Source organism: Homo sapiens, chromosome 2 (assembly GCF_000001405.40).
Source record: "Homo sapiens chromosome 2, GRCh38.p14 Primary Assembly".
Taxonomy (NCBI): domain Eukaryota; kingdom Metazoa; phylum Chordata; class Mammalia; order Primates; family Hominidae; genus Homo; species Homo sapiens.
This window is the reverse complement of record NC_000002.12, coordinates 109,013,901-109,040,755: the sequence shown is the minus strand read 5'-3', so window position 1 is coordinate 109,040,755 and position 26,855 is coordinate 109,013,901. Positions and strand designations below refer to the sequence as shown.

At 46.5% G+C, this 26,855-nt stretch overlaps 1 protein-coding gene across 1 annotated transcript in view, besides 1 other annotated feature; it reads right to left on the bottom strand.

Annotated features, from left to right (window-relative positions):
* The window catches only part of RANBP2 (RAN binding protein 2), a 1,122,820-nt gene that overhangs the window by 801,546 nt on the left and 294,419 nt on the right, over window positions 1-26,855 (bottom strand). The gene's annotated exons all lie outside the window — the stretch shown is intronic.
* Window positions 19,876-20,591: an enhancer, noted in NCBI's record as "NANOG-H3K4me1 hESC enhancer chr2:109636621-109637336 (GRCh37/hg19 assembly coordinates)". NCBI's record gives its function as "activates a minimal SCP1, AML or CMV promoter by ChIP-STARR-seq in primed H9 embryonic stem cells {active_cell/tissue: H9 hESC(primed)}" and the evidence as "EXISTENCE:reporter gene assay evidence [ECO:0000049][PMID:30033119]".

Below are 26,855 nucleotides of genomic sequence, written 5' to 3'. Positions count from 1 at the left end.
ATTTAATTAAAATTTGAGATCAAGAGGTATAATAGGAAAGGTTTTGACATAGCATCAAGAAAATACGAATGAATCTAACAAGAAATGTGTGAGACTTCCAGACAGAAAGTTAAGTCACTAGTGAGAAAATTAAAGAACTAAACAAATGCAAAGAGATATCACATCTGTGGATTGGAAATTTTAATATTACACAGATGTCAATTCTCCTTAAATTAATCTAGATTTAATGCAATTCCAACAAAAAATTCCAATAGATTTTCTGTGTGTGTGTACTTTTCCAAAGTATTCTAAAATTTATATAAAAGTACAAATTGTCCAGCAGAGTCGAGCACTCTTCAAAAAAAGAAAAATGAACAAGGTGGGAGAGTTTATTCTATTGGATATCAAGGCTTCATATAAAGCTGAAAGTAATGAAGTCAGTGTATTATTAGTTCAAGAATAGAAAAATAAAGCCAATGGAACAGAATGGAGACCCCAGAAACACATCATGAATATACAGACACTTGATTTATGAAAAAGATGTAGAATAAGGTGGGCAAGAATGCTCTTTTCAATAAATTGTACTGGAACAATTAAATATCCATATGGGGAAAGAGGTGAAACGTGACCCCCACTTCATGCCATACAGAAAAATTAATTCCAGGTGCATTATAGAGCTAGCTGTGATAGAAAAAAGTAGTAAAGCCTTTAAAAAGTGATATAGATAGAAAAATAACTTTATGTTTCTGGGTTAGGAATACAAAAAGCACTAACTTAAGGAAAGACTGACAAATTAGACCATATTAAAATTATGAACTTTAATTTATTAAATGATACCATTGGGAGAGTGAAAAGGCAAGCTGCAAGGGAATACATTTGTAAAATGTATCACTGCATAGAGATCATACACAGAATATATTTTAAATGCCTACAAGTTATTACAAAAAAGATACACATAACAAATAGAAAAAAAGCTCAAAGCATATTGTGGCTTGAGGTTAAAAATAATTAACTAAAAATAAATAAATTCATAAATAAGATAAATTTTAAAAGAAAAAGAAAAAAGGGAGAATAATGGAATAGGTACTTAACAAAAGAAGAAATCTGTATGGCCAAAAAACATCTGAAGGCCGGGCACAGTGGCTCACGCCTGTAATCCCAGCACTTTGGGAGGCCGAGGTGGGCAGATCACGAGGTCAAGAGATCGAGACCATCCTGGCCAACATGGTAAAACCCTGACTCTACTAAAAATACAAAAATTAGCTGTGCGTGGTGGCATGCACCTGTAGTCCCAGCTACTCGGGAGGCCGAGCCAGGAGAATTGCTTGAACCCAGGAGGTGGAGGCTGCAGTGAACTGAGATCGCGCTGCTGCACTCCAGCCTGGGCGACAGAGCAAGACTCCGTCTCAAAAAAAAAAAATCTTAAAAGACATTGAAGTATTAGGGCTTGCTGGAGAAACAGAACCAATAGGATGTGTGTAAGAGAGAGATTTATTTTAGAATTGGCTCACACCTTCGTGGAAACTGACAAGTCTGAAATCCACAAGAAAGACCAGCAGGCTGGAGACCCAGGGGAGGGTTGATGTTTCAGGCCTGAGTCCAAAGTCTGTCTAGAGGCTGAATTCCTTCTCCTTCAGTGATCTCAGTCTTTGCTTTTAAAGTCTTCCATTGATTGGATTGGATTCTGCTTGCCTAATGGAGGGTAAGTTGCTTTACTCAAAGTCTACTGATTTAGATGTTAATCACATCTGAAAAACAATTTCACAGCAACGTCTGGACTAGTGTTTGACCAAACAACTGGATACCATAGCCTAGCCAATTGGACACATAGTTTACCATCACATTCAACCTCTTTAATAATGGAAAAATGCAAATTAAAACTACAAAGAGATACCACTACACTTACACCAGAATGTCTAAAATTAAAAAGACAAATCATGTAAACTACTAGAATGTGGAGAAACAGGAGCTTTCGTATGCTGCTAGTTAACATGAAAGTTACTGGTGCTACTTTGGAAATCAGTTAAGGATTGTCTTAAGCTATAACCCAGTAATCCCACTCCTTAGTATTTTCCCAAAAGAAATACATGTACATGTTCTTGAATTTCGAAAGTTCTTTATTCTAGATTCCAGTCTTTTGTCAGCTATGTGGTTTGCAAACATTTTCTTTCAGTCTGTAGCTTGCCTTTAGGTCTTCTTCATAAGGTCTTTCACGGGGCAAAATTTGGGGTTTTAAATTTATTTTTAATTTTAATATATTTATTTATTTAGAGACCGGGTTATGACTGGCTAGTTTTTGTATTTTTGACAGGATGGGGTTTTATCATGTTGCTAAGGCTGGTCTTGCACTCCCAGGCTTAAGCAATCTACCCTCCTCGGCCTCCCAAAGTGCTGGGATTACAGGGTGAGCCACCACACTTGGCCAGAGCAAAAGTTTTTTATTTTGCTGAGGTTCAATTCATATATCTTTTAGGTTTAAGTCTGTGATCCATTTTGAGCTAATATTTGTATATGGTTTGAGACAAGTCAAGGTTCATTTTTGCCTATGGATGTCCAATTTCTCCAGAACTGTTTATTGAAAAGGCTATCCTTCTCTATTGAATTGTTTTTCACCTTTGATAAAAATCAGTCGAGCATGTTTGTGTGGGTCTGTTTCTGGGTTTTCTGTTCTGCCACATTTGTCTACATGTCTATCTCTCTGCCCATACCACACTCCCTTGATTACTGTAGCTACACAGTGAGATAGACTGGCTCCTCCTACTTTATTCTTTATCCAGTTTGGTTAAGCTATTCCAGGACTTGTGCCTTTCCATGTAAATTTGGGATAAGATTGTCTATGTCTACAAAGCACCTTGCTGGGATTTTAAGAGTAATTGTATTAAACTTATTAATCAATCTGGAGAGAATTGACATCCTTAGGAAGTTCAGTCACCCAACTCATGAACTTGGTTGGATTTACTTAGCTAAATCCTCTTTTATTTCTTTCAAAAGCATTTTATAATTTTAGCGTGCAAATGTTGTACATATTTTGTTATATTCATGCCCAAGTATATAATTTTCTTTGGAACTGTCATAAATGGTATTGTGTTATTAATGCTAGTTTTGAAATGTTCATTGTTAATATATAGAAATGACATTTATTTTTCTGTATTGCTATTGTACCCTGCTACCTTGCCGACTTTACATTAATTCTAGGAGTTATTTGTAAATTCCTTGGGATTTTCTAAGTAGACAACCAGGTCTTTGACAAATAAGGGCAGTTTTATTTCTTTCCTTCTAATCTTTGTGCTTTTTATCTCTCTTTCTTGTCTTATTTCAGTGGTCAGAATTTCTAGCACTATGTTGAATTAGAGTGGTGAGAACAGATTGCTTGTCTCTTTCCCAATCTTAGGGAGAAAGCATTCCATCTTTCTCCATTAAGTATTTGGTTCTTTTTTTTTTTTTTTTTTTTTTGAGACATGGTCTTGCTCTGTCACCCAGACTGGAGTGCAGTGGCACAATTATGGTTCACTGCAGCCCTGAACTTCCAGGATCAGGTGATCCTCCTGCCTCAGCCTCCCGAGTAGCTGGGACCACAGGCACACCACCCTTTCTGGCTAATTTTTGTTTTTTTGTTTTGTTTTGTTTTGAGACAGGGTCTCACTCTGTCACACAGGCTAGAGTGCAGCAGCATGATCTTGGCTCACTGCAACCTCCACCTCCAGGGTTCAAGCAATTCTCCCACCCACCTCAGCCTCCCAAGTAGCTGGGACTACAGGTGCACACCACCATGCCCAGCTAATTTTTGTATTGTTTGTTAGAGACGAGGTCTCACCATGTTGGCCAGGCTGGTCTGAAACTCCTGACCTCAAGTGATCTGCCCACCTCCACCTCCCAAAGTGTTGGGATTACAAGTGTGAGCCACCTTGCCCAGCCTGATTTTTGTATTTTTTGAAGAGACGGGGTTTTGCCATGTTGCCCAGGCTAGTTTTGAACTTCTGGGCTCAAGCAATCCGCCCATCTCAGCCTCTCAAAGTGTTGGGACTACAGGCATGAGCTACTGTGCCCAGCCTAGGTTTTTAAATAGATGCTCTTTCTCAACTTAGGATTGTCCCCACCACTCCCCGCCATTCCTAGTCTGCTGAGACTTTTTACCGTGAATGGGCATAGGATTGTGTTAATCTTTTTTTCTGCATCAAATGATATAATCATTTTTATTCTTTACCTGGTTAACAGAGTAAATTACATTGACTGATTCTGGAATATTGAACCAAACTTGCATATATGGAATAAATCCCACTTCATCATGGTGTATATAATTTTTTATATACGATGCTGTATTAGGTTTACAAAATTTTGTTGATAAATTTTGTGTCTAAATTTATAGAGATAGTGGTCTATAACTTTCTTTTCTGTACTGCATTTTCCTGATTTTGGTATCAGGGTAATACTAGCCTTATACAATGAGCCAGGAAACGTTCTTTCTTTTACTTTCTGAGATAGAGTGTGTAAAATTGGTATTAATACTCCTTAAAGTATTTTCATCTGAAGATTTCTTTTTTGTGAGCCGTTTGCTTATAACTTTAATTTCTGTAGCAGCTATGGAACTATTCAGGTTGTCTCTATCATCCTCGTTGAGTTTGGTAGTTTGTAGCTTTCTTGACATTAGCACATTTCTTCTAGGTTGGCAATAAGTTCTCTTAAGTTTTCTTTCATCTGAGAATGTCTGATTTCTCCTTCATTCCTGAAGGGCGTTTTCAGTGGCTATTGGATTTGTGATTCTAAGTTCTATCTTCAACTTGAAAAATGTTGTGCCTCTTCCTTTTGGCCTCCATGGTTTCAAGATGAGAAATCCACTGTCATTCAAACAAATATTCCTCATGAATAATGCTTCATTTCTCTCTGGTTCTTTCAATATTTTCTCCTTTGTTTGTAGTTTTGGGTGTTTATGATGTTAAGAAGTTTAATTATTTTTTTTGTGTTTACCCATTTGGGTTTGCCCTGCCAAGGGAACAGAGGATTAGCTCCCAGCTCGAGTGCTCACCCTACTAGGCCAGAGAGTTCAAGCACTCAATCAGCTTCTGCAGAGCAGAGGCTACAGGTGGGGCTAGAAGGTTCTGTTAGGCCCACTAGACTTTTGCTGGGATAGGGTGGGTATTGCCAAAAAGGTTTCCTTTTGTTGTCAGGCCAGCCTTTCCTCTGTGCTTTGACCAGGGGGGACCAGGCCTTTCTTAGAGCTTGTCTGTGCCTGCTGGTGGTTTCTGGTTGGAGGCTTCTGCAGTGCCTCATCCAGGGTAAGGGCGGGGTGGGGTGGGGGGTGATAAGGAAATCCAAGGACTCACACCTGTCATTCTTCAAGGTCTGAGGTCCCTAGGCTTTTTTTCTTCCTTCCTCCAGCTTTCAGAGTCTTCTTCTGCTGTCTGTTGTGTTATGTCCAGATATTTTACCTGTAAGAGGGAGTGTCTGGGAGGAATGGGACTCTCCATCTTGGGGGAACCAGCAGTCAACACTCAGGTTTTAATGCACTTTCCTCTGTTTGTCATATTTCACTATTAAAAAGAGTTAACAGGCAAGAAATAAGATGGCCATCACACTTGAGAAGGTTGGGAGCCCTGACTTGGTACAAACTACTTTTTGATCTGACATCTAACAAATGATGTCTTACAATATCTTACAAAAAACATACGTGTACCATGCTGATCCTTCTGGATAGTCCAATCTAGGGAGGTTATCTAACCAGTAACTCCTCACAAACCAGGGATAGCTCTCCAGCACTGGGTCCTCTGGCTAATGGCCCCCACCAAGTGTCAGACCTACCTAAGCCCCATTCTTGTCTCCTTTTCTTTTTTCTTTAAATGTGCCCCCTCACTTCTCTGTAATATTTCCCATGCCCTTTTCATACCCTCTCCTCCTGCATGGGCTTTTGGATAATCTTTTGGATAATCTAACCATGACTGGTTATTGAACACTCACAGTGTGCTCTGTACAGGAGAGGGGTTTTACCTAAGCCCCCAGGGTTTTTGAGGAGGCCTTCTCTGCTGCTTATGGTGGGCAAAGAATGGGGTACCACCCCCCTCATTCATCCCAGAAGGCCCTAAAACTCAGAACAAACTATTTGCAATGAATCTAGGAGTACAGGATGATGAAGATGGGGCACCCGGCCCCACCTTAGCTCCATGAAGTGGCCTGAGCCAGGTGTAAAAGGAGCTGAATTTGCTTACATGGTGGCTCCAGAACCAGCTTTTGCCTCACTGTGCCTCCCTCTGCCTGCTGGCTTGCTGCTTTGTCTTTCTTCTTCGCCTCTCTTGCCATAGCCCCTCAGCTTGGCTCTGCAATACTCCACGTTCCTCACTTCCCTGTGCTTTCATTCCCTAAACGCCAGTCTCTTCCTCTGGGGCATGGCCCTGGGGCCTCCCACTGAAATTGACCCAATAGTCCCATAAATAGTTTTTTGGATAAACGTAGAAATTGACCCTTCTGGTTCTAAAGTTTGAACCTTCCTTTTTTTTTTTTTTTTTTTTTTTTTTGAGATGGAGTCTCACTGTGTCTCCAGGCTGGAGTGCAGTGGCACACTCTTGGCTCACTCCAACCTCCACCTCCCGGGTTCAAGTGATATTCTCCTGCCTCAGCCTCCCGAGTAGCTGGGACTATAGGTGCCTGCCACCACACCCGGCTAATTTTTTGTATTTTTAGTAGAGATGGGGTTTCACCATGTTTGCCAGGATGTTCTCCATCTCTTGACCTTGTGATCCTCGTGATCCACCCACCTGGCCTCCCAAAGTGCTGGGATTACAGGCGTCAGCCAACACACCTGGCTGAACCTTACCTTTTTTTTTTTTTTTGGAGTCAGGGTCTCCCTCTGTCGCCAGGCTGAAGTGCAGTGGTGCAATCTCGGCTCACTGCAGCCTCTGCCTCCTGGGTTCAAGCAATTCTCGTGCCTCAGCCTCCCGAATTGCTGGGACTACAGGTGCCCGCCACCACACCTGGCTCATTTTTTTTGTATTTTTAGTAGAGACGGGGTTTCACCATGTTGGCCAGGCTGGTCTCGAACTCCTGACCTCAAATGATCCACCCGCCTCAGCCTCCCAAAGTGCTGGGATTACAGGCATGAGCCACCGCCTCTCAAAAAAAAAGTATCATCAAAGAAGGGAAACTCACCAGATCAACACATCCAGACAATGAGATACCCTACATTGTGACTGCTTCCTTGCCCCTCCGTAGTTCCTGTTTTCTTACACACTGTTATCTTTCTTCCCTGGTGTATAAACCCCTAGTTTTAGGTGGATGGGGAGATGGATTTGAGACTGGGCTCCCATCTTCTCAGCTACAGCACCTGATTAAAGCCTTCTTCCTTGGCAATACTTGTCATCTCTGTGATTGGCTTTCTGTGCAGGGAGCGGCAGGACCTAGACAGAACCTGGGTGTTTCGGCAACACCACCTGCCTCTGCTTCCGAGGGCACACTCAAAAAGGAGGGGACTGGGCCCGTGCATTCACCTCAGTGTCTCTGTTTCACAAAAGGAGTCGTGGAAATCAGAATAATCAAAATCTCAGCTCACAGAAATGAGCGAGGCTGAATGCAAAATTAAAGTGGACAGGGCCCATCAACAGCCTGAAAGGGGCTTTGTTATTCCTTCCTAGGGAAGTCATCACCTCTCAGAGAAGTGTCTGGCTGAGTAATGACCAAACATGAAAGGTCTCTGTCCACTCAAGGCATGGATCATACTAAGGCCTGGTGATCAGTTTAAAGGAAATGTATTTCCCATGGCTGATGTCCACAACGTTCAGCTTCCAAGGGTTCAGGAAGGACTTATATTTCACCCTGCCATGACATGGGTCAAATATGAGGCCTCTTTGAAAATCCAGGGAAAATTAGCTCCTGGTGACATAGGATGCACTTCTTAGCTCCTAGTTGCCCATCTGGAGTTCTCTGTTAGGCCCACAGAATCAGCAAACTCTGTGTGGAATTAGGCGATTGCTCCTCAGTAGTGGCAGTGCAACCGGAGGGAAATTATTGTTCCATTCTGACTTGTGAGTTCCTATAAATCTTAGCTTTAAATCAAATGCTCTGTGAGTTGCTACAGGAGTTTCATTTAACCCACCAGCCTGTGCAAGAGGTGAGAGGTGGCCCGACTGTGAAATCCCAGAAGACACATCTAGTTGGCCAAGGCCTCTGCTCTCAGCTGGAGGAAAGACTCCCCCACCCCACCCCATGGGGAGGGGAGAAAGCGCATGGATGGAGTGGGATGAAGAATGGAGAGTGAGGAGAAAGCCCTTCCATGGTGTAAAAGTCAGGGCATCCGCTGAAGCCTCTCACACATTCGACCGATGTCACCCCAAGGAGCAGTTTCACCAGACAGGGTGCTGAGTCTAGCACAGCATCTGTTTGCAGACGGTGCTTGAAAGGACTGAGGTTGGGTCCTGGAGTTCTAAAGTTCTAACCCTTTTCTTCTGTCTTATTTCACCTTCCTGCAAAACAAAGAGGGGGTGGGGAGGGACAAAAAAAATCGCTATGCAGAAGTTCACTCCGGAAAATGCCCTGAAATAAAATCAACAAGATTGATGTGCAGGCAGACAGGTAATAACTTTAGAAGTGAAAGAAATCTCCAAAGATCTATGACATTTTTAACAAAACAGGGGGAAGGTGGGCAGCGCTCAAAACTGCAGAGCGGTAATTACACCCACAGGAAGTCTCTAATGAACTTGAAAACAAAGCTCCGAAGAAAGGGAAAGAAGATAACTGCAGAGTTCTGTTTACGTAACCGTAGGGGGTTTGAACACCAAGAACTTACAGCTCCTGAAACGCGGTGAGGAAATGGGAGGGAGGGCAGCGAGCGTTCAGAGTTTTGGCAAAAGGTCAAAGAGAGTGAACGGATGTGGGGGGAGGGGAAGAAGGTGGCGGGGGGTGGGTGGTAGCGCTCACGGGACAAGAAATTGAGCAAACAGAAAAGCTTAGTTGCTGAAGAAAATACTTAGAGGAAGGAGGGTTCTCTTCGCTGGGGGCAAAGTGGGGCAGCTTTATCCCGCCTGTGGCCCGGAGGTAGGCGTTGGCGCAGGTCTCGCCGGCGCCCGCAGCGCGTCCAGGTTGCCACCGGCAGAGCCCGGCCCACGTGGCCGACGCTGAAGCGGCGCTCTCCGTTCCTCCAGCGGGCGCTTCCCGGCCGAGCTGCAGGGGGTGCACACAGCAGAACTTCACTGCGCCCTCCTCGCCGCACGTGGGGCCAGGCCGTGCGCTAGAGACCCGCGGACTCGGTGCAGCCCGGCGAGGCGGGCAGAGCCGACTGCTGGGTCTGAGCGCGCATCCCCTGCTGCTACTGATTGAAGCCCAGTCCCCGGTGCAACAGTAGTAAGAGGGGGCCTCCAGGGAAGTGATTCCGTCGTAAGGGGAACGGGGCTGATAACCTTATAAGAAGGCTGGAGGAAGCTGTTTCCTCCCTTCCGCTCCTTCTGCAGAGCGTTCCCGTCTCTACCCCACCCCTGCCACATCAGAGCCCCCATCTGTGCTGAGTCAGCCAGCACCCATCAAGAAGCCCCCATCTGTGAGGAACAGGCCCCCCTCACTGCTGACACCTTGATGGTGGACTTCCAGCCTCCAGCACGGTGAAAAGGAAATGGCTATTTATAAATTACTCTCTAAGGTGTTTTGTTGTAGCAGCAGGAATGGACTTAGGGACCCGGAGTTCTTACCATTGCCCAATCACAATACCCTTAGACTCCAGCATCTCCACACATGGCGTCCCCTCGTGGAGCGCTCCGTGTCTTACCATGAGTCAGTGAGACAAAAGGTGCAGATGACACTGATGGTGGTATACATGCACACTGTGTTAGTCTGTGTACTAGTTATGAGTATATATACCAATTATTAAACCATTTTACCAAGAAAATAAAGACTTGGGAGATGTTAAAAAACTGCCAAAGTCGGGTGTGGTGCACCTGTGGTCCCAGCTACTCTGGAGGCCGAGGCAGAAGGACTGCTTGAGCCCAGGAGTTCAAGACCAGCCTGGGCAACATAGTGAGACCTAGAAAACAAACAAACAACAACAACAACAACAAAAACTGTCAAGAGACAGAACCTGGATAAGAAGTGGGTTATATAAACCAAAGTGGTCCAAAAATTCAGATGCCTGAGGGGCCCCAAGCTGGTCCTAGGTACTCAGGAAAGTACAATTCTAGAAGGAGCCTTCTGCTTAACAGCCTGCTGGTCATCCTCAAAGAGGCCACCACTCCCCACTCCTTCTCAGGGAGCCTCATCCCATCAGACAGTGAGGCCCATTCTTTCATTCATTCAGGTCATATTTACTGTCTATCCAGAATGCACCAGGCACTGTGCTAGGTGCTACTATACACATTATCACATTTGGCAGGGTATGGCACACCTCTTCATTTAAAAATAACCTTTCCAATGACATTAACAATGGGCTTTACTTACGTGAAATTCACTTAAAATAGAATTCTAAGGAATTTTACGTAGCATACCATAATTTGGCTAGAGGAGAAGGCTGGGTCTTCAGTGGGAAAATGTTGAAGGTAAAGCACTTGAGCGCATGGCCTGCTGGGGAGAGTGCTGAGCCAGCTGGCTGTGCAGGGGAGGATTGAGGAAAAGGCTGAAAATGAAGGCTGAGGATCAGTTTCATGAGCTCTCGAATCCAGGTTGATTTGAAACTGTTCTTTGCATAGGCAGAACATTCTGAGGTAGCAAACAAAAGTTAGAGTCAAAGAATTCTTTCTAAAGAATGATGTCAAGGAGGCAGTAAATCTAAGACTCACCCACACACTCGAACTGGCACTCAGTAAATGCTTACTGAATGAATGAATCAATCAATCCATCAATACAGAGATAGCAACCAGGATCCTTGTCAAGTCAAGAGGGTTATTAGTATAGTATTTCTTTAAAATAAACAGCCTTATCTGTGAGCAAAATAAGAGGCTGCCCCTGAAGGCTAAGGATGTCTGCATCCATTTGAGAGAAACAGCCTTTCATTGTGCAATGATTAGGCTTAAGTTGCTGGCAAGGCTGGAGACAAGGATAGAGATGAAAGGCTGGATGATGGCTGCCGGGGGGCCCTGTCCTGCAGCTGTTCCAGCCAGGAAAGGAGAGGGGAACAGAGGAGACAGCACAGGCAGCAGGCAGGCATCCCAGGCCGAGGAAGGAGGGAGGGCTCCCCAGGGTCACCCTGCTCTACTTTTGGAGCCTGATGCTGTAAAGTTTGCCCGGCAGGGACACACATGCTGCAGAATCTCCTCTTTCCCCTCATTGAGAGGACCAGGTTTTCCCTTGGAAACGGACAGACACACACTGAGCTGCTGCTTCCCAGGAGGGCTGAGGCACCCTTCAATAACTTCAGGCATCAGTGTCAGCCACATCATGGTTTCCCACCTCCAGATTCCCATGCCTTCCTTACCCTAATGAAGTTTCTCCCATTTACACATGGTCCCTCATCATCCCTCTCCTGGATGCTTTACTAGCTTTATGGAAGGAACTTGGAGGAGTGGCCAAGGCAGAACCCAGCAGCTGCGGCCATGGGGGTGAATGGGGGCTGGGATGGGGAGGGACTCCATAGACTCAGTGTTGACATGAAGGAGGAAAGGGCCCAGGTGTCCTATTAACAGTAATAACAATAATCTTGCCTTAAACCTTATTTATTTATTTATTTATTTTATTTATTTTTGTAGTTTAGAATGAGGTGAGGGCTAAAGAAATAAACAATCACATAGGCCGGGCACAGTGCCTCACGCCTGTAATCCCAGCACTTTAGGAGGCTGAGGTGGGAAGATTGCTTGAGCCCAGGAGTTTGAGACCAGCCTGGGCAATATGGCAAAATCCTGTCTCTACTAAATAAATAAATAAATAAACAAACAAATAAATAAATAAACAATCACAACTAAAGTCGTGACAGCCAGATTCACACATGCATTCTCAGTTGGCCCTCACAGTCCCTGACAGCCACACAGATCCTGAGAGTGTGAGGCTGCTCTGGAAGACAGGAGTGGGGCTTAGACCCGATGACCTCTAAGCTCTGTTCTGCTGCTTTAGGTCCAGGGTCAAGGTGTAGGAGGGGCAAGATATGTGTGGGGGAAGGGCAAGAACCGGGCCTACTGACTTAAGCTACTCATTTGGGTGCATGTCTGCCACCCTCGGAGGGCCTGTGGAATAGGTCAGAGCACTCCTCTAAGTGAGGGCTGTTGGGATCGGATGCTTAGGGCACAGCAGAGGAGATTGAAACAGCATTCAGCACTGTCCAGATGTTGATGCAAGGACTGTCACCCTCAAATACAGTGTGTCAGCCACCATGAGCCACTGTGCAGGAGGGCCTGAGGGTGGCGTGTGGAGACAGGCCTCCCAGCAACGGGGAAGCCAGGGTGCAGCAGCAGGGCCTACCTTCTTGGTGTAAGGCTCTTCCTTCAGTGGAGGTAAGGGCCGTGGCCCAGCATGCACTTTGTACTTTCCATTAGCCCTGAGGCTCAGGTGTCAATTATGGTTTAGCATTTAAAATCGAACAATATGTTTTTATTTTATTTATTTCTTTTGAGACAGGGTCTCACTCTGTCACCCAGAGTGGAGTGCAGTGGCATGATCATGGCTCACTGCAGCCTCAACGTCCTGGGTTCAGGTGATCCACCCACCTCAGCCTCCTGAGTAGTGGAGACTACAGGTGTATGTCACCTGGCCCAGGTAATTTTTTGCATTTTTTGTAGAGACAGGGTTTCACCATGTTGCCCAGGTTGGTCTCAAACTCCTGGGCTCAAGATGTCTGCCTGTCTTGGCCCCCCAGTGTGCTGGAATTACAGGCGTGAGCCACCTCACCCTGCCAGTATGTTTTTAAACAGTACCAGGAAAGCCTTGAGCTCTTCCCTGCCTCAGCAGGACACATGCATTAACTGGCAGAGCCCAGTGCTCCCTCTGAGGATGGATCTGTGAGTAGCAGCTCTGGGAGAGACAGAAGTAGGGGACTGGCAGGGACTCAGAGCCTGCAGGGAGAAGGAAGACGCATGGCGGGGAGGCCAGCATGCCAGGCTGCAGAGCTGCCGCCCACCCACCCCGCCCACTCCTGGAGCCCAGGCCCTCATCAACTCTAGGTCTTGCTCCTGGCCTAGGTCCTGCTGAGTCCCCATAGTCATAACGACGCTTACGCAGCACTGCTTCCTTCCAGATACTTTGTCCACGTCAGTGCCCAATAACCCTGTGAGGTCTGTCACCACTTACAGGAGGGGAGCTGAGGCCCAGGAGGGCTTAGGCCCTGCCCAGGGTATCATAAACAGAGGGTGGATGGACATGCCAGGCTCAGAGCCTGTGCCTTCATGTCAGGCTCCACAGGCTTCCTTGGCTCCATGCTGCCTTCAAAAGAGGAAAGTTACTTTTGTCTTCAAAATCCAGTCTTTCCTTATGGCTTCAAAAGCTCTTCCCTTGAAGACTCCACAAAGGAACAAGATGTCTGGGGTCTGGCTGGGCCCAGGAGACCTCTGCAATGCCTCCAAGATGAGGCTAGTCCCCCAGGAGACCCACCCTCCTTCAAGAAGTCTTCAGAGGTCCTTGTTTTTTTTTTTTTTTTTTTTTTGAGACAGAGCCTCACTCTGTTGCCCAGGCTGGAGTGCAGTGGTGCAAATCTTGGCTCACTGCAACCTCCGCCTCCAGGATTCTAGTGATTCTCCTGCCTCAGCCTCCCAAGTAGCTGCTATTACAGGTGCGAACCACCACGCTCAACTAATTTTTGTATTTCTAGTAGAGATGGGATTTCACCACGCACCAAGCTGGTTTTAAAATCCTGACCTCAAGTGATCTGCCCACTTTGGCCTCCCAGAGTGCTGCAATTACAGGTGTGAGCCACCACACCCGGCCAATGTCTTCAGAGGTTCTTTTTTATTTTTTGAGACGCCCACCACCATGCCTGGCTAATTTTTTGTATTTTTAGTAGAGACGGGGTTTCACCACATTAGCCAGAATGGTGACCTCGTGATCCACCACCTTGGCCTCCCAAAGTGCTGGGATTACAGGCGTGAGCCACTGCACCCGGCCACTTCTAATGATTTTTAAGAAGTATTTGGCAGCTCTGAATTGGCAAGTGTGGAAATAAGACTGAGAGGAGCAGCTGTTTCTAAAAGATCATTTTGAGCTTTTTCCCCACCTAGAGGGTGCCGAGCAATCAGGATGTGAGGGGCACAGTCTGGGCTGCTGCTTTCCCCACTTGAATACATGACATATCCAGTGTATCCTACACTAACGGTGCTTCCTCACCTTAGAGCTGGGAGCTCATGACTGCATAGCCAGCCTTTGGTCCCCTTGCTTCAGAGGGAAGAGGGGCCCAAGGGACAGGCAATACCTCAGACACACTCTTCTAAAAGCAAAAACGGTGGCCATTAAAATAATGCGCTGTCCAGGTGTGATGGCTCTTATCTATTGTCCCAGCACTTTGGGAGGCAGAAGCAGGAAGATCGCTTGAGCCTAGGAGTTCAGGACCAGCCTGAGCAACATAGCAAGACCCCATCTCTTAAAAAAAAAAAAAGCTAGGCATGGTGGTATGAGCCTATAGTCCCAGCTACTCTGGAGGCTGAAGCAGGAAGATTGTTGAGCCCAGGAGCTCAGGTGACCTACAATCATGCCACTGCACTCCAGCCTGGGTGACAGAGTGAGACCCTTTCTCTAGAATAAACAAAATTAAAATTTTAAATATAAAATGTGCTGTCTTCCATGCACTGGATCTTTCTGAGCTGCTTTTCTGTGGTGGTGCTGAGCCAATTCCTCTTGCTGTCTCTTCCCACCTGCTCTGAACTGCAAGCGTTTCTGCTCCCCCAGGGAGGGCAGGCCTTGGTGAGGATGAAGGGGACTACTAACAATTACACCAGGATGAGGACATCAGCTGGGACTGTCCCAGGCCAAATGGGACACGTCGTCCCCCATCTCTGTGAAAAACTAGAAATCTAGGAATTAACCATGTGGCTGCCAGAATCTCTATGTGAAGCTCTAACCTATTGATGTAATTTTTTTTCTTTTTTTTTTTTTTTCGAGACGGAGTCTCGCTCTGTTGCCCAGGCTAGAGTGCAGTGGCGTGATCTCGGCTCACTGCAAGCTCTGCCTCCCGGGTTCACGCCATTCTCCTGCCTCAGCCTCCCGAGTAGCTGGGACTACAGGCGCCCACCACCACAACCGGCTAATTTTTAGTAGAGACGGGGTTTCACCGTGTTAGCCAGGATGCTCTTGATCTCCTGACCTCGTGATCTGCCAGCCTCAGCCTCCCAAAGTGCTGGGATTACAGGCGTGAGCCACCGCACCCGCCCTATGTCCTTGTTTTTTATAATGGACTTTTTCCAGAAAATATTTTTGGCTCCCCAAAATATGTACGTCAAGTTATAAATCATATCTTTACTACTCTGCTAACCCATTATATATAAACACAAAAACAGATCTTTTTAAACATAAAAAGAATAGAAACTCCACTCCTTAATATATACCCAAAGGAACTGAAAACAAATGCTCAAAACAGATACCCCAGTGATTAGAGCAGCATTATTCACAAAGCTAAAATCAACTGAAAGTCTATCAACAGTTTAACAGTTAAACAAAGTGCAGTATGTCCACACAATGGAATATTATTCAGCCTTAAAAAGGAAGGAAATTCTAATACACACTACATACAACATGTGCAAGCCTTGAAAACCCAAGTGAAACAAGCCAGTCACAAAAGCACAAATATTGTATGATTCTATGTATATAAATTATCTAGAATGGTCAAATACATAGAGATCAATTCATAGAGGGAACGGTTACCAGCAGCTGGGAAGAGGGGACATAAGGAGTCTCTGCTTAATGGGCAGAGGTTCCATCTGGGGTGATGAAATATTTTGGAAGGAGTGGTGATGGCTGCACAGCATTGTGAATGTAATTAATCCCAATGAATTCTATACTTAACAGTGGCTAATATGGTCAATTATATGCTATATATATAGTTTTTGCAATCATAAAATAAGTTAAAAAAGAATATCAATTTAAAATATTTAGATAAACAATGAAGTTAAAGTTCTAATATTTTCTTCCCCTCTTCCAGTGAAGGTTTGTCCCCAGGTGCACACGTCCAAGACTAGGGCCCACAGTCCTAACCAGCCGGGCCAAGCCTCCCACTACCTATCACCTGGAAGGACATAGGATGAAGTGGACACCCTGAGGTGCCTCTTTGCTGGTGGACATGCCTGTCTCCAGCCACGTCACCTCCAGGTTCAGGCATCAGTCTTCAGAGGTGAAGCTTGAAGGCTAAAGGCAAGAGGGGAGTTGGCTAGACCAGAACCCCCTCACTGCTGTAATTTTCTCACTGTTAGAATTTTTGCAAAGGTGGTTTCAACCCCAACATCTTCTGTTCAGGAATCTACCTGCAAAGTTTTGAGATTTTCGACAGTAGCCGTGAAAAGATTCAAAGAGACTGGTAATTCTTTGCAAACTTACACCAGCTTCTTACAGACTTGAATTGATATTTTGTCTTTTTATAGAATAAGGGTATAAAGGAAGTTTTTGTACATTCATGATAACATCTAGCTTATCTTCTTGAAACCAACAACACCATTTTACCCAGAAATAAAAGCAGGTGGGCCAGACATGGTGGCTCACGCCTGTAATCCCAGCACGTTGGGAGGCTGAGGCGGGCCTATCACCTGAGATTGGGAGTTCGAGACCAGCCTGACCAATATGGAGAAACCCCGTCTCTACTAAAAATACAAAATTAGCGGGGCGTGGTGGTGCATGCCTGTAATCCCAGCTCCTCAGGAGGCTGAGGCAGGAGAATCGCTTCAACCCGGGAGGTGGAGGTTGTGGTGAGCCGAGATCATGCCATTGCACTCCAGCCTGAGCAACAAGAGTGAAACTCCGTCTCAAAATAAATAAATAAATAAATAAAAATATAAGCAGTGATCACAAAATGCAGGTACATTACCTTGAAGGAGAGAAGAGACTGTTAGGTAGAAATTAAGAGAGTTTTTTGTTTGTTTGTTTTTGTTTGTTTGTTTTGAGATAGGGTCTAACTTTGCTGCCCAAGCTGGAGAGCGATAGGGCAAACAAGGCTCACTGCAGCCCCAAACTCCTGGGCTCAAGCAATTCTCCTGCCTCAGCCTCCTGAGTAGCTAGGACTATAGGTATACACACTGCACCCAGCTAGAGATTTTTATTTGATGTTTTTGTAGAGACAGGGTCTCACTTTGTTGTCCAGGCTGGTCTCAAATTCCTAGCCTCAAGAGATCCTCCCACCTAGGCCTCCCAAAGCTCTGGGATTGCAAGTATGAGCCATTGTGCCCAGGCTGACTTTTAACAGTTGTACCTACTGACGTCAACAACATGACAGTTAGGGCTGACAGCAAAAAGCTATTTTAAACCTCATCTCAGTGATTTTAATTTTTCTTTTATTATTTTGTGCATACAAATTTTCTACAATGAACATATATTACTGTTGTAATTAGAAAAAGAGCAATTTTTTAAACTGCCTAATTCTTCTGTTTCCTAGGTCATATTTGTATTTTGGGCACTGAAGTTTGGGATCCTTTACTGCAGGAGACAGTAGTTCTGTATGTCCTGTGCGTCCACAGGGCACCTCTGTTAACGCAGCCTGCGCTGTTGCAGGCATTCATGATGACAGTGCTCAGTCATCACTAGGTGACCCATGCTATGTATGTTTTGCTTAAGAGCGCAGAAGCATTCTGTACATATTATCAAGGTTTCATCAAAACAGTGATTATCTTAATCCTAGGATAATTCTTTTTTTCTTTTTTTTTGAGATGGAGTCTCGCTCTGTCACCCAGGCTGGAGTGCAGTGGCATGATCTCGGCTCACTGCAACCTCCACCTCCCAGGTTCAAGTGATTCTCCTGCCTCAGCCTGCTGAGTAGCTGGGATTACAGGCACTCACCACCACGCCCGGGTAATTTTTGTATTTTTAGTAGAGACTGAGTTTCACCATATTGGTCAGGCTGGTCTCAAACTCCTGACCTCAGGTGATCCACCCACCTCGGCCTCCCAAAGTGCTGGGATTACATGCGTGAGCCACCACGCCCAGCCAATAATTCTTTTTTAAAAAATAGATTTAGTGGGTACAAGTGCAGTTTTGTTACCTGGATCTATTGTGTAGTGACGAAGGCTAGGCTTTTAGTGTGACCATCACCCGAATAGCATGTGTGATACCCTTTAGGTAATTTCTCATCCCTCTTCCCTCTCCCCCTCCCACCTTTTGGAGTCTCCAGTGTCTATTATTCCACTCTCCATGTCCATGTGTACACATTGTTTAACTCCCACTTACAATTGAGAAATGCAGTGTTTGACTTTCTGAAAAACAGTAATTTTTAAAGATTTTACACTGCAAAAGGGAACTGTCCACCATCTGGAAAATCCACCTTTCTGAGCACCTGGATCCCCAAGAACACTGGACAAATGAGCGACGCTGTCCACATAATTGCCACGATGCCTGAGGACAGTAACACTGCTCCCCCTGGGGAAGGTAGATGGAGTGCTGTGGCAGCGGCACATGAGTGAGTGGGGCGGGGGAACCACAGTTGCTGGTTATTGAGGCGTTTAGTATTGGCGTTCCCAGCCCAACCCCTAACTGCAGGCACCCCACTTCGCATGCCTGGGCCTCTGCTCCTCTGCCTGAGTTCCAGCCACTGCCCCTGGATACAGGCTAAAGGGCAGTAGGGGACGGTGTGGCGCACCCTAGGTGCGGAACCCACAGCAGCCGGTGCCTGCCAGATATAACAAGCAAGCTGGGGCACACGGCTCTGAGGCACGTTTTCCAGAAAGCCTTCGAATTGTGTAAACTCTGTGCAGGCCAAAGGGCCTCTTGTGTAAGCCACATGCCAAGGCCCATCTAAAAGTTCCACTCCTGCTTGGCTCCCGGGTTGCTCTCAACCCCGCAGGGCACTTCTCAATCCCTGGTGGAAGGTGAAAAATCGTGCCTCACAGATTCTCTTCTCAGGAAAGACAATCCTGAAAGCGATTTTGTTCGGATTTCTTAACCGCTATTTGTCTGCTTCTGCTGTCTTCTTTTTAAGGACCTCGGGGGATGCCCAGGTGAGTTCACAGCTCCCTCCACACCCTGTGGCCCTGGGGACCTGGTAATGGACACACACTGCCTGCGAGGCCAGTGTCCTTTCCTCTGCTCTCTTTACCTCGCTTCCAACGTCTGTCGATGCCCATACCTGCCAGCCGTCTTCTCCCCAGACCCCTCAGGTCTGGAGGAGAACTATCGCATGTCAGAACTCATTCTGAGGGAAAGTCCCTCTTTGTCAGCACTTTTTTTTTTTTTTTTTCTGAGACGGAGTCTCTCTCTGTCGCCCAGGCTGGAGGGCAGTGGCGCCATCTCGGCTCACTGAAAGCTCCGCCTCCCGGGTTCACGCCATTCTCCTGCCTCAGCCTCCCGAGTAGCTGGGACTACAGGCGCCCACCACCACGCCCGGCTACTTTTTTGTATGTTTAGAAGAGATGGGGTTTCACCGTGTCAGCCAGGATGGTCTCGATCTCCTGACCTCGTGATCCACCCGCCTCAGCCTCCCAAAGTGCTGGGATTACAGGCGTGAGCCACCGCGCCCGATGGCTTTGCCAGCACTTTTCACACAGACCCCATGCTGATCGGTGTTGCTTATCACTTGGTGAGCACTAACCAATGTGCCACAGCCCAGGCAGCTGCCTTATTCTGTCCCCCAGGAACTCTCAGCCTCTGCACAGCTCCAGCCCAAGAAGCATTCCCACCGACCCCCAGTTCTGCCCCTTTTGCTGGAAAATGAGTTTGAAAGAGTTTCTGCTTCAGAGGCAGCCCCGTGGCCCATTTGGCACCCCAGGCACCCTCCTGAAGCTGGGGAGTCGCCTGGGTGTGCCTGCCCTGCCTGGATTCCTTGCCTGTGATGGGTCATGGTGGTCTTTCAGCCTTGGTCTGAGCATTTCTGCCACCAGAAATTTGTGCCCCCCACAAACAATCTGCCCTTGGGAATGTCCAAGCTACCCCTTTGCAAAATGCTATAGCTTTTCACAAAGCTATACTGGCTATGGCTTTTGGACTAATACCTTGACTGGTAAAACTAAAAATGCGCCCTGATGTCGCTATTATAAACCACAGTCACCTCATGGAAAATCACATGCCTTTGACCTGCACTCAGGCAGGCTCCCTGACCTCCTGGTGTTGTCACACCTCCATCTACCAAGTCCTCATTGTTAGATTATTGTTAATATCATTGTGGGGTTTCTTCTTCCCATCTGGATCCAATAAAGTTGTCAGCTTGTGGTATTCTCTCTCTTCCATCTGGGGCAGAGGTCGCCTGCCAAGTAACCATTGTTCACGTTGGAATCTGCAACTCCAAAGGGTTTTCTTCTTTGCTTTCACTAAAAATAGCTCTAATCCCTTTAGCTATCACTTGACTTCCTCTACTGGAACCCGAATGGAGAGGCTGTTATACGTAATTCTAACCATGACCTCCCTCGTTTGATCTCTGTTTTGTAAACCGGGGAGAAGGGTTATCATAAGGTGCCTGTGGTGGCTTGTCTTTGAGCTCCCTTTAATGGCCAGTCTTTTAACAGAGCTGGAAACTGTCTCTGCTGTTTACTTTGCCTGTGTGCGCTGCTCCTGGGCTTCTCTGTTATTTTTGCAAATGGTGTTTTATATGTTTCCACATCTTTCTAACATGTCATGCCTCCCATTAGAACACTCATTCCAGTATTAACAGTGGTGTTATAAAAGACAGCGAACAATCAGAAGAAAAATAGTGCAAGACATGTCTCAGATGGTTACCTGTTCAAACAGAGTTGTTCCCTTCAACACACTGCCCCGAAACTTCACCCCCACTTTTTCACCCTGTTTTCCCTGGGCTCTGTAACTCTGCTCACGGAGAGCTCTGTTCCTGGGAATGCAGACACTGGCTGTGCTGATTTAGGTGATTTCAGAACTATCTCCATTATAGAAAACCCCTTGAAACAGGAGCCAAAACTCAGTAACAAATCCCCGGACCCCAGAGTGGGCAAATCCTTTCATTGTACTGTGGACAGGAGAAGCCAAAGGCATTTCATTTATTTTCCAGATAGTTAGGAAGATGGATGGATAGACAGATGGACAGAATGATAGGTTTTCTTTATAAGTCAGTATGAACTGAGTAGGAATTACATATTGGCAAAAATCAGCGAGCCAAAAATCAAACCAGCACATCAAATTGCTCTCCAAACTGAACTAAACCAATCTTAAGCGGTCGCTTAAGATCACCCATGTCGGGTGTTCTTCCCTTGGAGAAGGAGGCACTGGCAGTGTCAGGCATCCTGGAGAAGCCACCCCATAGACTGTGGGATGATGGTGCAGCCCTACTTATCACCTTCCTAAGACCAGCAATGTCAGAATGTTCAGTGGCACTTTACTCATCTCAAGGGTCTAGACATAGGCTCTGGGCAAAAACAACTCCCCACACCTCTTTGCTCTGTAACAACAAAGTTGATCTATTTCATTCAAAACTTGGTGAGTCCCTGGAGCTCAGCACACCACACCCGACACACACAACAACAGCACCAGCACCACACACAGAGGAGCACTGGGCTGAGCATCTGATGTGGGTATCTAATGCAAACCAAGCCTGATTCAGGCAGTACTGTTCCCATTTTCAAATGGGGAAACTGAGGCACGGGTCGGTTGTGCAGTTTGCCGAAGGGCGTGCAGCCACAGCATTACCGAGACGGCATTTGAACCCGGGCCTCCTCTGTGGCTACAAACCATCACACTAAACACTCTCCTGCCATAACTAGTGACTGATCTGATCTGATCTAGAACAGGCGCCTCTGTGACTACAATCACACGTCCTAAATGCATTTTTGGCTATACTCCCTTTTCCATTTATTCTGCAGATGTTTACTGAGGGCATGCTACGTGTCACCACTGTCCTGGTGCTAGGGACACGATCAGTGGTGAGCAAACACTTACTCTCCTCATAGAACTTTACTGGGAAAGAAATGTAATCCAACCAGCAAATGTGTAATTCATGTAGGACAAGTGTTGCTGTACGTGCTCTCAGCAGGGAACCTGGCCTGAGGGTCTGAGTGGCTCCTCTAAGTAACATCAGAACTGAGCCAGTGCCTGAAGGATAAGTTAGAGTGCCAGTGGAAAGGGGATGGAGATGTGTAATCCAGACACAGGGAAAGGACGTGCTAAGGGCCTGTGGCCGTGGGAGCATAGCTAGAGCCTATGGCTCAACAGGAGGTTAGGAGAAGCATGCAGAGTGAAGGGGAGTGGAGAGCAGGGGTCAGCGCACACTGCATGTTACATGCAGAGGGAAGACTTTGGTACAGGCAACGGGGAGCCTCTGAAGGGGTTTAATCAGGAGGATGGTGGGGGACAGAAGGATAACAGGATCTTATTTGTATTGGGAAAAGACCCCCTGGCTGCAGGGTAGGGTGTAGATTGGGGGCCACAGTGCACGCTGGCGCCTGGCTAGCAGACAGCGGCTGACAGCCTACCAGACAAGGCAATGAGACCTCACCTTTGTGATTCTGCAGACAGCTTTGCTCCTGCTTCCTCCATCCTGCTTTGAGGATCTTAAGTGCTGGGTCTGTTTGCCAGTGAAAGTTACCTTCTCCTTATCATGTCCGTCATAGAAACCCCCACAATGGGCTTACATGTGGCTCCATTTCACTGAAGTCGTCATGGATAGGATGGCCTAACCTGCCCGACTCTGTCTTTGTTCATTCTAATTCTGAGGTAATGGTCTGATTTTAAGAAAATGCTTCCTGGTGCAAACTCCCTTTTCTGAGCAGGCATCATTACTGCCAATTAATGAAACATCTGTGAGACTGCAAAGTCAAGCCTGCATCTGTCATTTAACTAGAATTCTCTCCATCTCCACCACCATTTCCACCATCTCAGGTAAAATACCAGTGCATTATTTCAAAGGCAAAGACAGTAGGATACATAACAGTGAGGATTGCCGTGCTCAGCCTAACAACGGGGGATTTAGAAGGTGTCTTCACCCCTTCCAGCCTACATGGTCTCTGCTCCTAAGAACTGATTAGTGCAGGTGTGGGTACCCAGAGACTGAATGCATCATTAATATGCTGTTATTAAGATTCCAAGGGTCTCATATCCTCACAGGTGATACAACAATATGCTAAAATATCCACTGACCTCATACATGAGCTCTGCCCATCAAAATAAATAAATTGTTACAAAAAAGAGATTGGAAAAAAAGAGCAATTTAAAAAAATAGCTTCAACCAAACTTGGCAAGGAAACACTTCTGAGGTCTTCCTGCATTTCAAACAAGGCTTTCTTGAGGTCTGCCCAGGAGCTGCTGAGGAAAGAGGCTGGAAGTGGATGAGGCCAGGCCAGCCAAGAGCAGGAGCGACCCCACGCCATCCTGTGATTCCCAAGGTCTCTTGTTGCTTCCACCACTTGCTCGCTCTCTCTCTCATTCAGAAGCTGATGGACAGCAGGGACAGGGGCTGCCCAGGCGCCAAGCCCATGACTCCAGAGGGCCTCAGGATCGTATCAAAGAGTTTCAATCATTCAGCTGCCCCCAGAGCTTTGGAAAAGTTGTGACATATTCATGGCATGCACAAAGAAACACACCACTTCCAGGATCTGAACTCTGACCAGTTGTTTGTGGCATGAGCCTTTGGCACGCAGAGAATGGCAAAGGTTTCTACCGGGTGTGACTGAAGGGAGAGAGCCCTCTCTGTGCTGCTAAGAGAAATGATGGGAGAATAAGTCAAGATAGAAAAACATTGAGGAAACTATGCTCAGCACATTCAGAACAACTATATATTCCCTGGTGCCATGCTTTGCATGGGAGGCAGGGAGCAAACCTTCTGAAGTCAGCTTCCTGTCTCCAAATCACAGACCTCAGACTAGTCATCCTACCCTTTCACACCCGAGTTTCCATAGGGGGCAGTGGGAATTGTATCCCGTTCTTTCCCCTCCTGCGTCCCTCCATAGCAGTTCATGAACTTCCACCCCATTAACTCTCCTGTTGTATCTGCCAGCGACTGCCACAATTACGCCAAATAAAACGCCACCCCAAACTCACTGCTTCACATAATCATTTATTCTCACTCACATGCATGTGCCTGCCTGGGCGTCGCCTGGCTGGGAGCCCACTGGCCAGCAGGGCTTGGCTCTGGGCAGCAGGTAGGGCCAATCCTGCCTCCCTGCCTCAATGTCTCTCCTGCTCCCTGCAGCCAGGTCCCGGGCTTGCTCTCGTGGATGAGGTTTGAAGCTCACGAGCACATGTGGAAACATGCTAACCTCGGGACGCCTAGGATCAGGACTGGCATGTGTCCTTTAAACACACACGACTGGCCAAAGCAAGTCACATGGTCAAACCTCAAATCAAATGGTGAGGAAGCACATTCTGCCTCTGGTGGAAGAACTTCAAAGTCTCATGGGAAGGAAAGGGGGAAGGTTGGTAACAATAATACCACCTATCCACCCGGCGCGGTGGCTCACGCCTGTAATCCCAGCACTTTGGGAGGCCGAGGCAGGCAGACGTGAGGTCAGGAGATCGAGGCCATCCTGGTGAACACGGTGAAACCCTGTCTCTACTAAAAATACAAAAAAAAAAAAATTAGCCGGGCGTGGTGGCCGGCGCCTGTAGTCCCAGTTACTTGGGAGGCTGAGGCAGGAGAATGGCGTGAACCCGGGAGGCGGAGCTTGCAGTAAGCCAAGATCACGCCACTGCAGTCCAGCCTGGGCGACAGAGCGAAACTCCGTCTCAAAACAAAACAAAACAAACAAAAAAACCAATAACACCACCTACCACAACTGTGAAGAAAATAACAGGCATACGAATGCTAATGCAGTTTAAGATGCCCCATGTGTGCTATACACACTTCATATATCCACTGACCCTTGAACAGCATGAAGTGGGGGCACCGACCCCTGTACAGCTGAAAACCCGTGTCTAACTTTCAACTCCTCAAAAACTTAACGACTGATAAGCTGCTGTTGACCAGAAGCCTTACGGATAACATAAACAGTTGATTAGCACATATTTTATATGTTATATGTATTATATACCGTATTCTTTATTTTTTTATTTTATTTATTTATTTTTTTGAGACAGAGTCTTGCTCTGTCGCCCAAGCTGGAGTACAGTGACATGATCTCGGCTCACTGCAACCTCCACCTCCTGAGTTTAAGCGATTCTCCTGCCTCAGCCTCCCAAGTAGCTGGGACTGCAGGCACTCCCCATCATGCCCAGCTAATTTTTGTATTTTTAGTAAAGGCAGGGTTTCACCAAGTTGGCCAGGCTGGTCTCGAACTCCTGGCCTCAAATTGTCCACCCACCTCGGCCTCCCAAAGTGCTGGGAATACAGGCATGAGCCACTGTGCCCGGCCTATATACTGTATTTACAATAAAGCAAGCTAGAGAAAAGAACATGTTACTGAGAAAAGCATAAGGGAGAGAAAATATAATTACAATTCATTAAGGGGAAGTGGATCATCACAAAGGACTTCATCCTCAACATCTTCACATTGAGTGGGCTGAGGAGGAAGAGGATGAGGGGTTGGTCTTGCTGTCTCTGTCTTGGGTCGCAGAGAAGGAAGAAAATCCACTTGTTAGTGGACCCAGTAGTTCAAACCCAGGTTGTTCAAGGGTCAACTGTATTAACACATTTGTTCCCACCACAACTCTCTGAGTTCTATTACTATCTTTTTTTTTTTTTTTTTTTTTTTTTTTTTTTTTTTTTTTTTGAGATGGAGTCTCGCTCTGTCGCCAGGCTGGAGTGCAGTGGCGTGATCTCGGCTTACTGCAACTTCTGACTTCCTAGCTCAAGCAATTCTCCTGCCTCAGCCTCCCGAGTAGCTGGGATTACAGGCATGTGCCACCACGCCTGGCTAATTTTTGTATTTTTAGTAGAGATAGGGTTTCACCATATTGGCCAGGATGGTCTCGATCTCCTGACCTCGTGATCCGCCCACCTGGGCCTCCCAAAGTGCTGGGATTACAGGCGTGAGCCACCGCGCCCAGCCTATTACTATCTTTATTTGTAGATGAGGAGAATGAGGAGGAAAGACATTAAGTCACTTGCCTGCACCACACTCATGCTGGGGCTGGGATCTAGAGCCGTGTCTGGCTCTGCGCCCTGCACGCCTCTCACACGTGCATCCTGCAACACCACAGCAAGGTCTCTGCCAGTGAACTGGGGAAGGCCCACACAGGCTCCAGGCATGGGAAAACCTGGTCAGAAATGTGTGGCTTGTGACTGTAGGTTCCGAGGACTTGGAACTGGCCAGAAGAACAAAGGTTACTTCTGTTTTGTTCAAGGTCACCAGTGAGACCTTGGTTGTACTTAACATAGAAACTGGCTCAAGAACACAGTTGTGTTTTTGAACATCACCCAGACAACAAATGTCTTCCCCCTTGCTCAACAGATATGAACCACAGGTGCTGAGGAAAGAGGTTCAAGCTGAGAGAAGAAGAATGCAAACTACAGGGAGGTCCTGCTCCAAGAGAACAGGCCCAGGACACATCCACATCAGGGTTTTCAAATTGGGTTTTGGCCACCTGGTCTTCACCACAGCGTGGGTGTCTCGCCTCATCCCTATCCAGGATCCTTGTGTCTCTCAACTCCATTTTCCTAAAGTAATGGCTGTTGGGCAGCCCTGCTGAAAGAAAGCCTGTCTCTTCACATGGGGGAGACCATTATTATCTAGCAGGAGATAATCTGATGGATTTCAATGGCTTACTAAAAAATCAATTTATTGTAGAGCTGAAAGGCTTGCTGGTTGGTAAACAATGCATATCAAATTTTGTCCTTAAGATATTCAACCTCCAGCTGGCTTGTTGCACTATCCAGCAAGCTCAGAACTGGAATGTCTCCATTGTCGCTCAAGAATGAGGAGCAAAATAACTGTAATTTACTTTCAAAACTCCAACTTTAGTAACAAGCCAGAAATGGTGATAGGCAT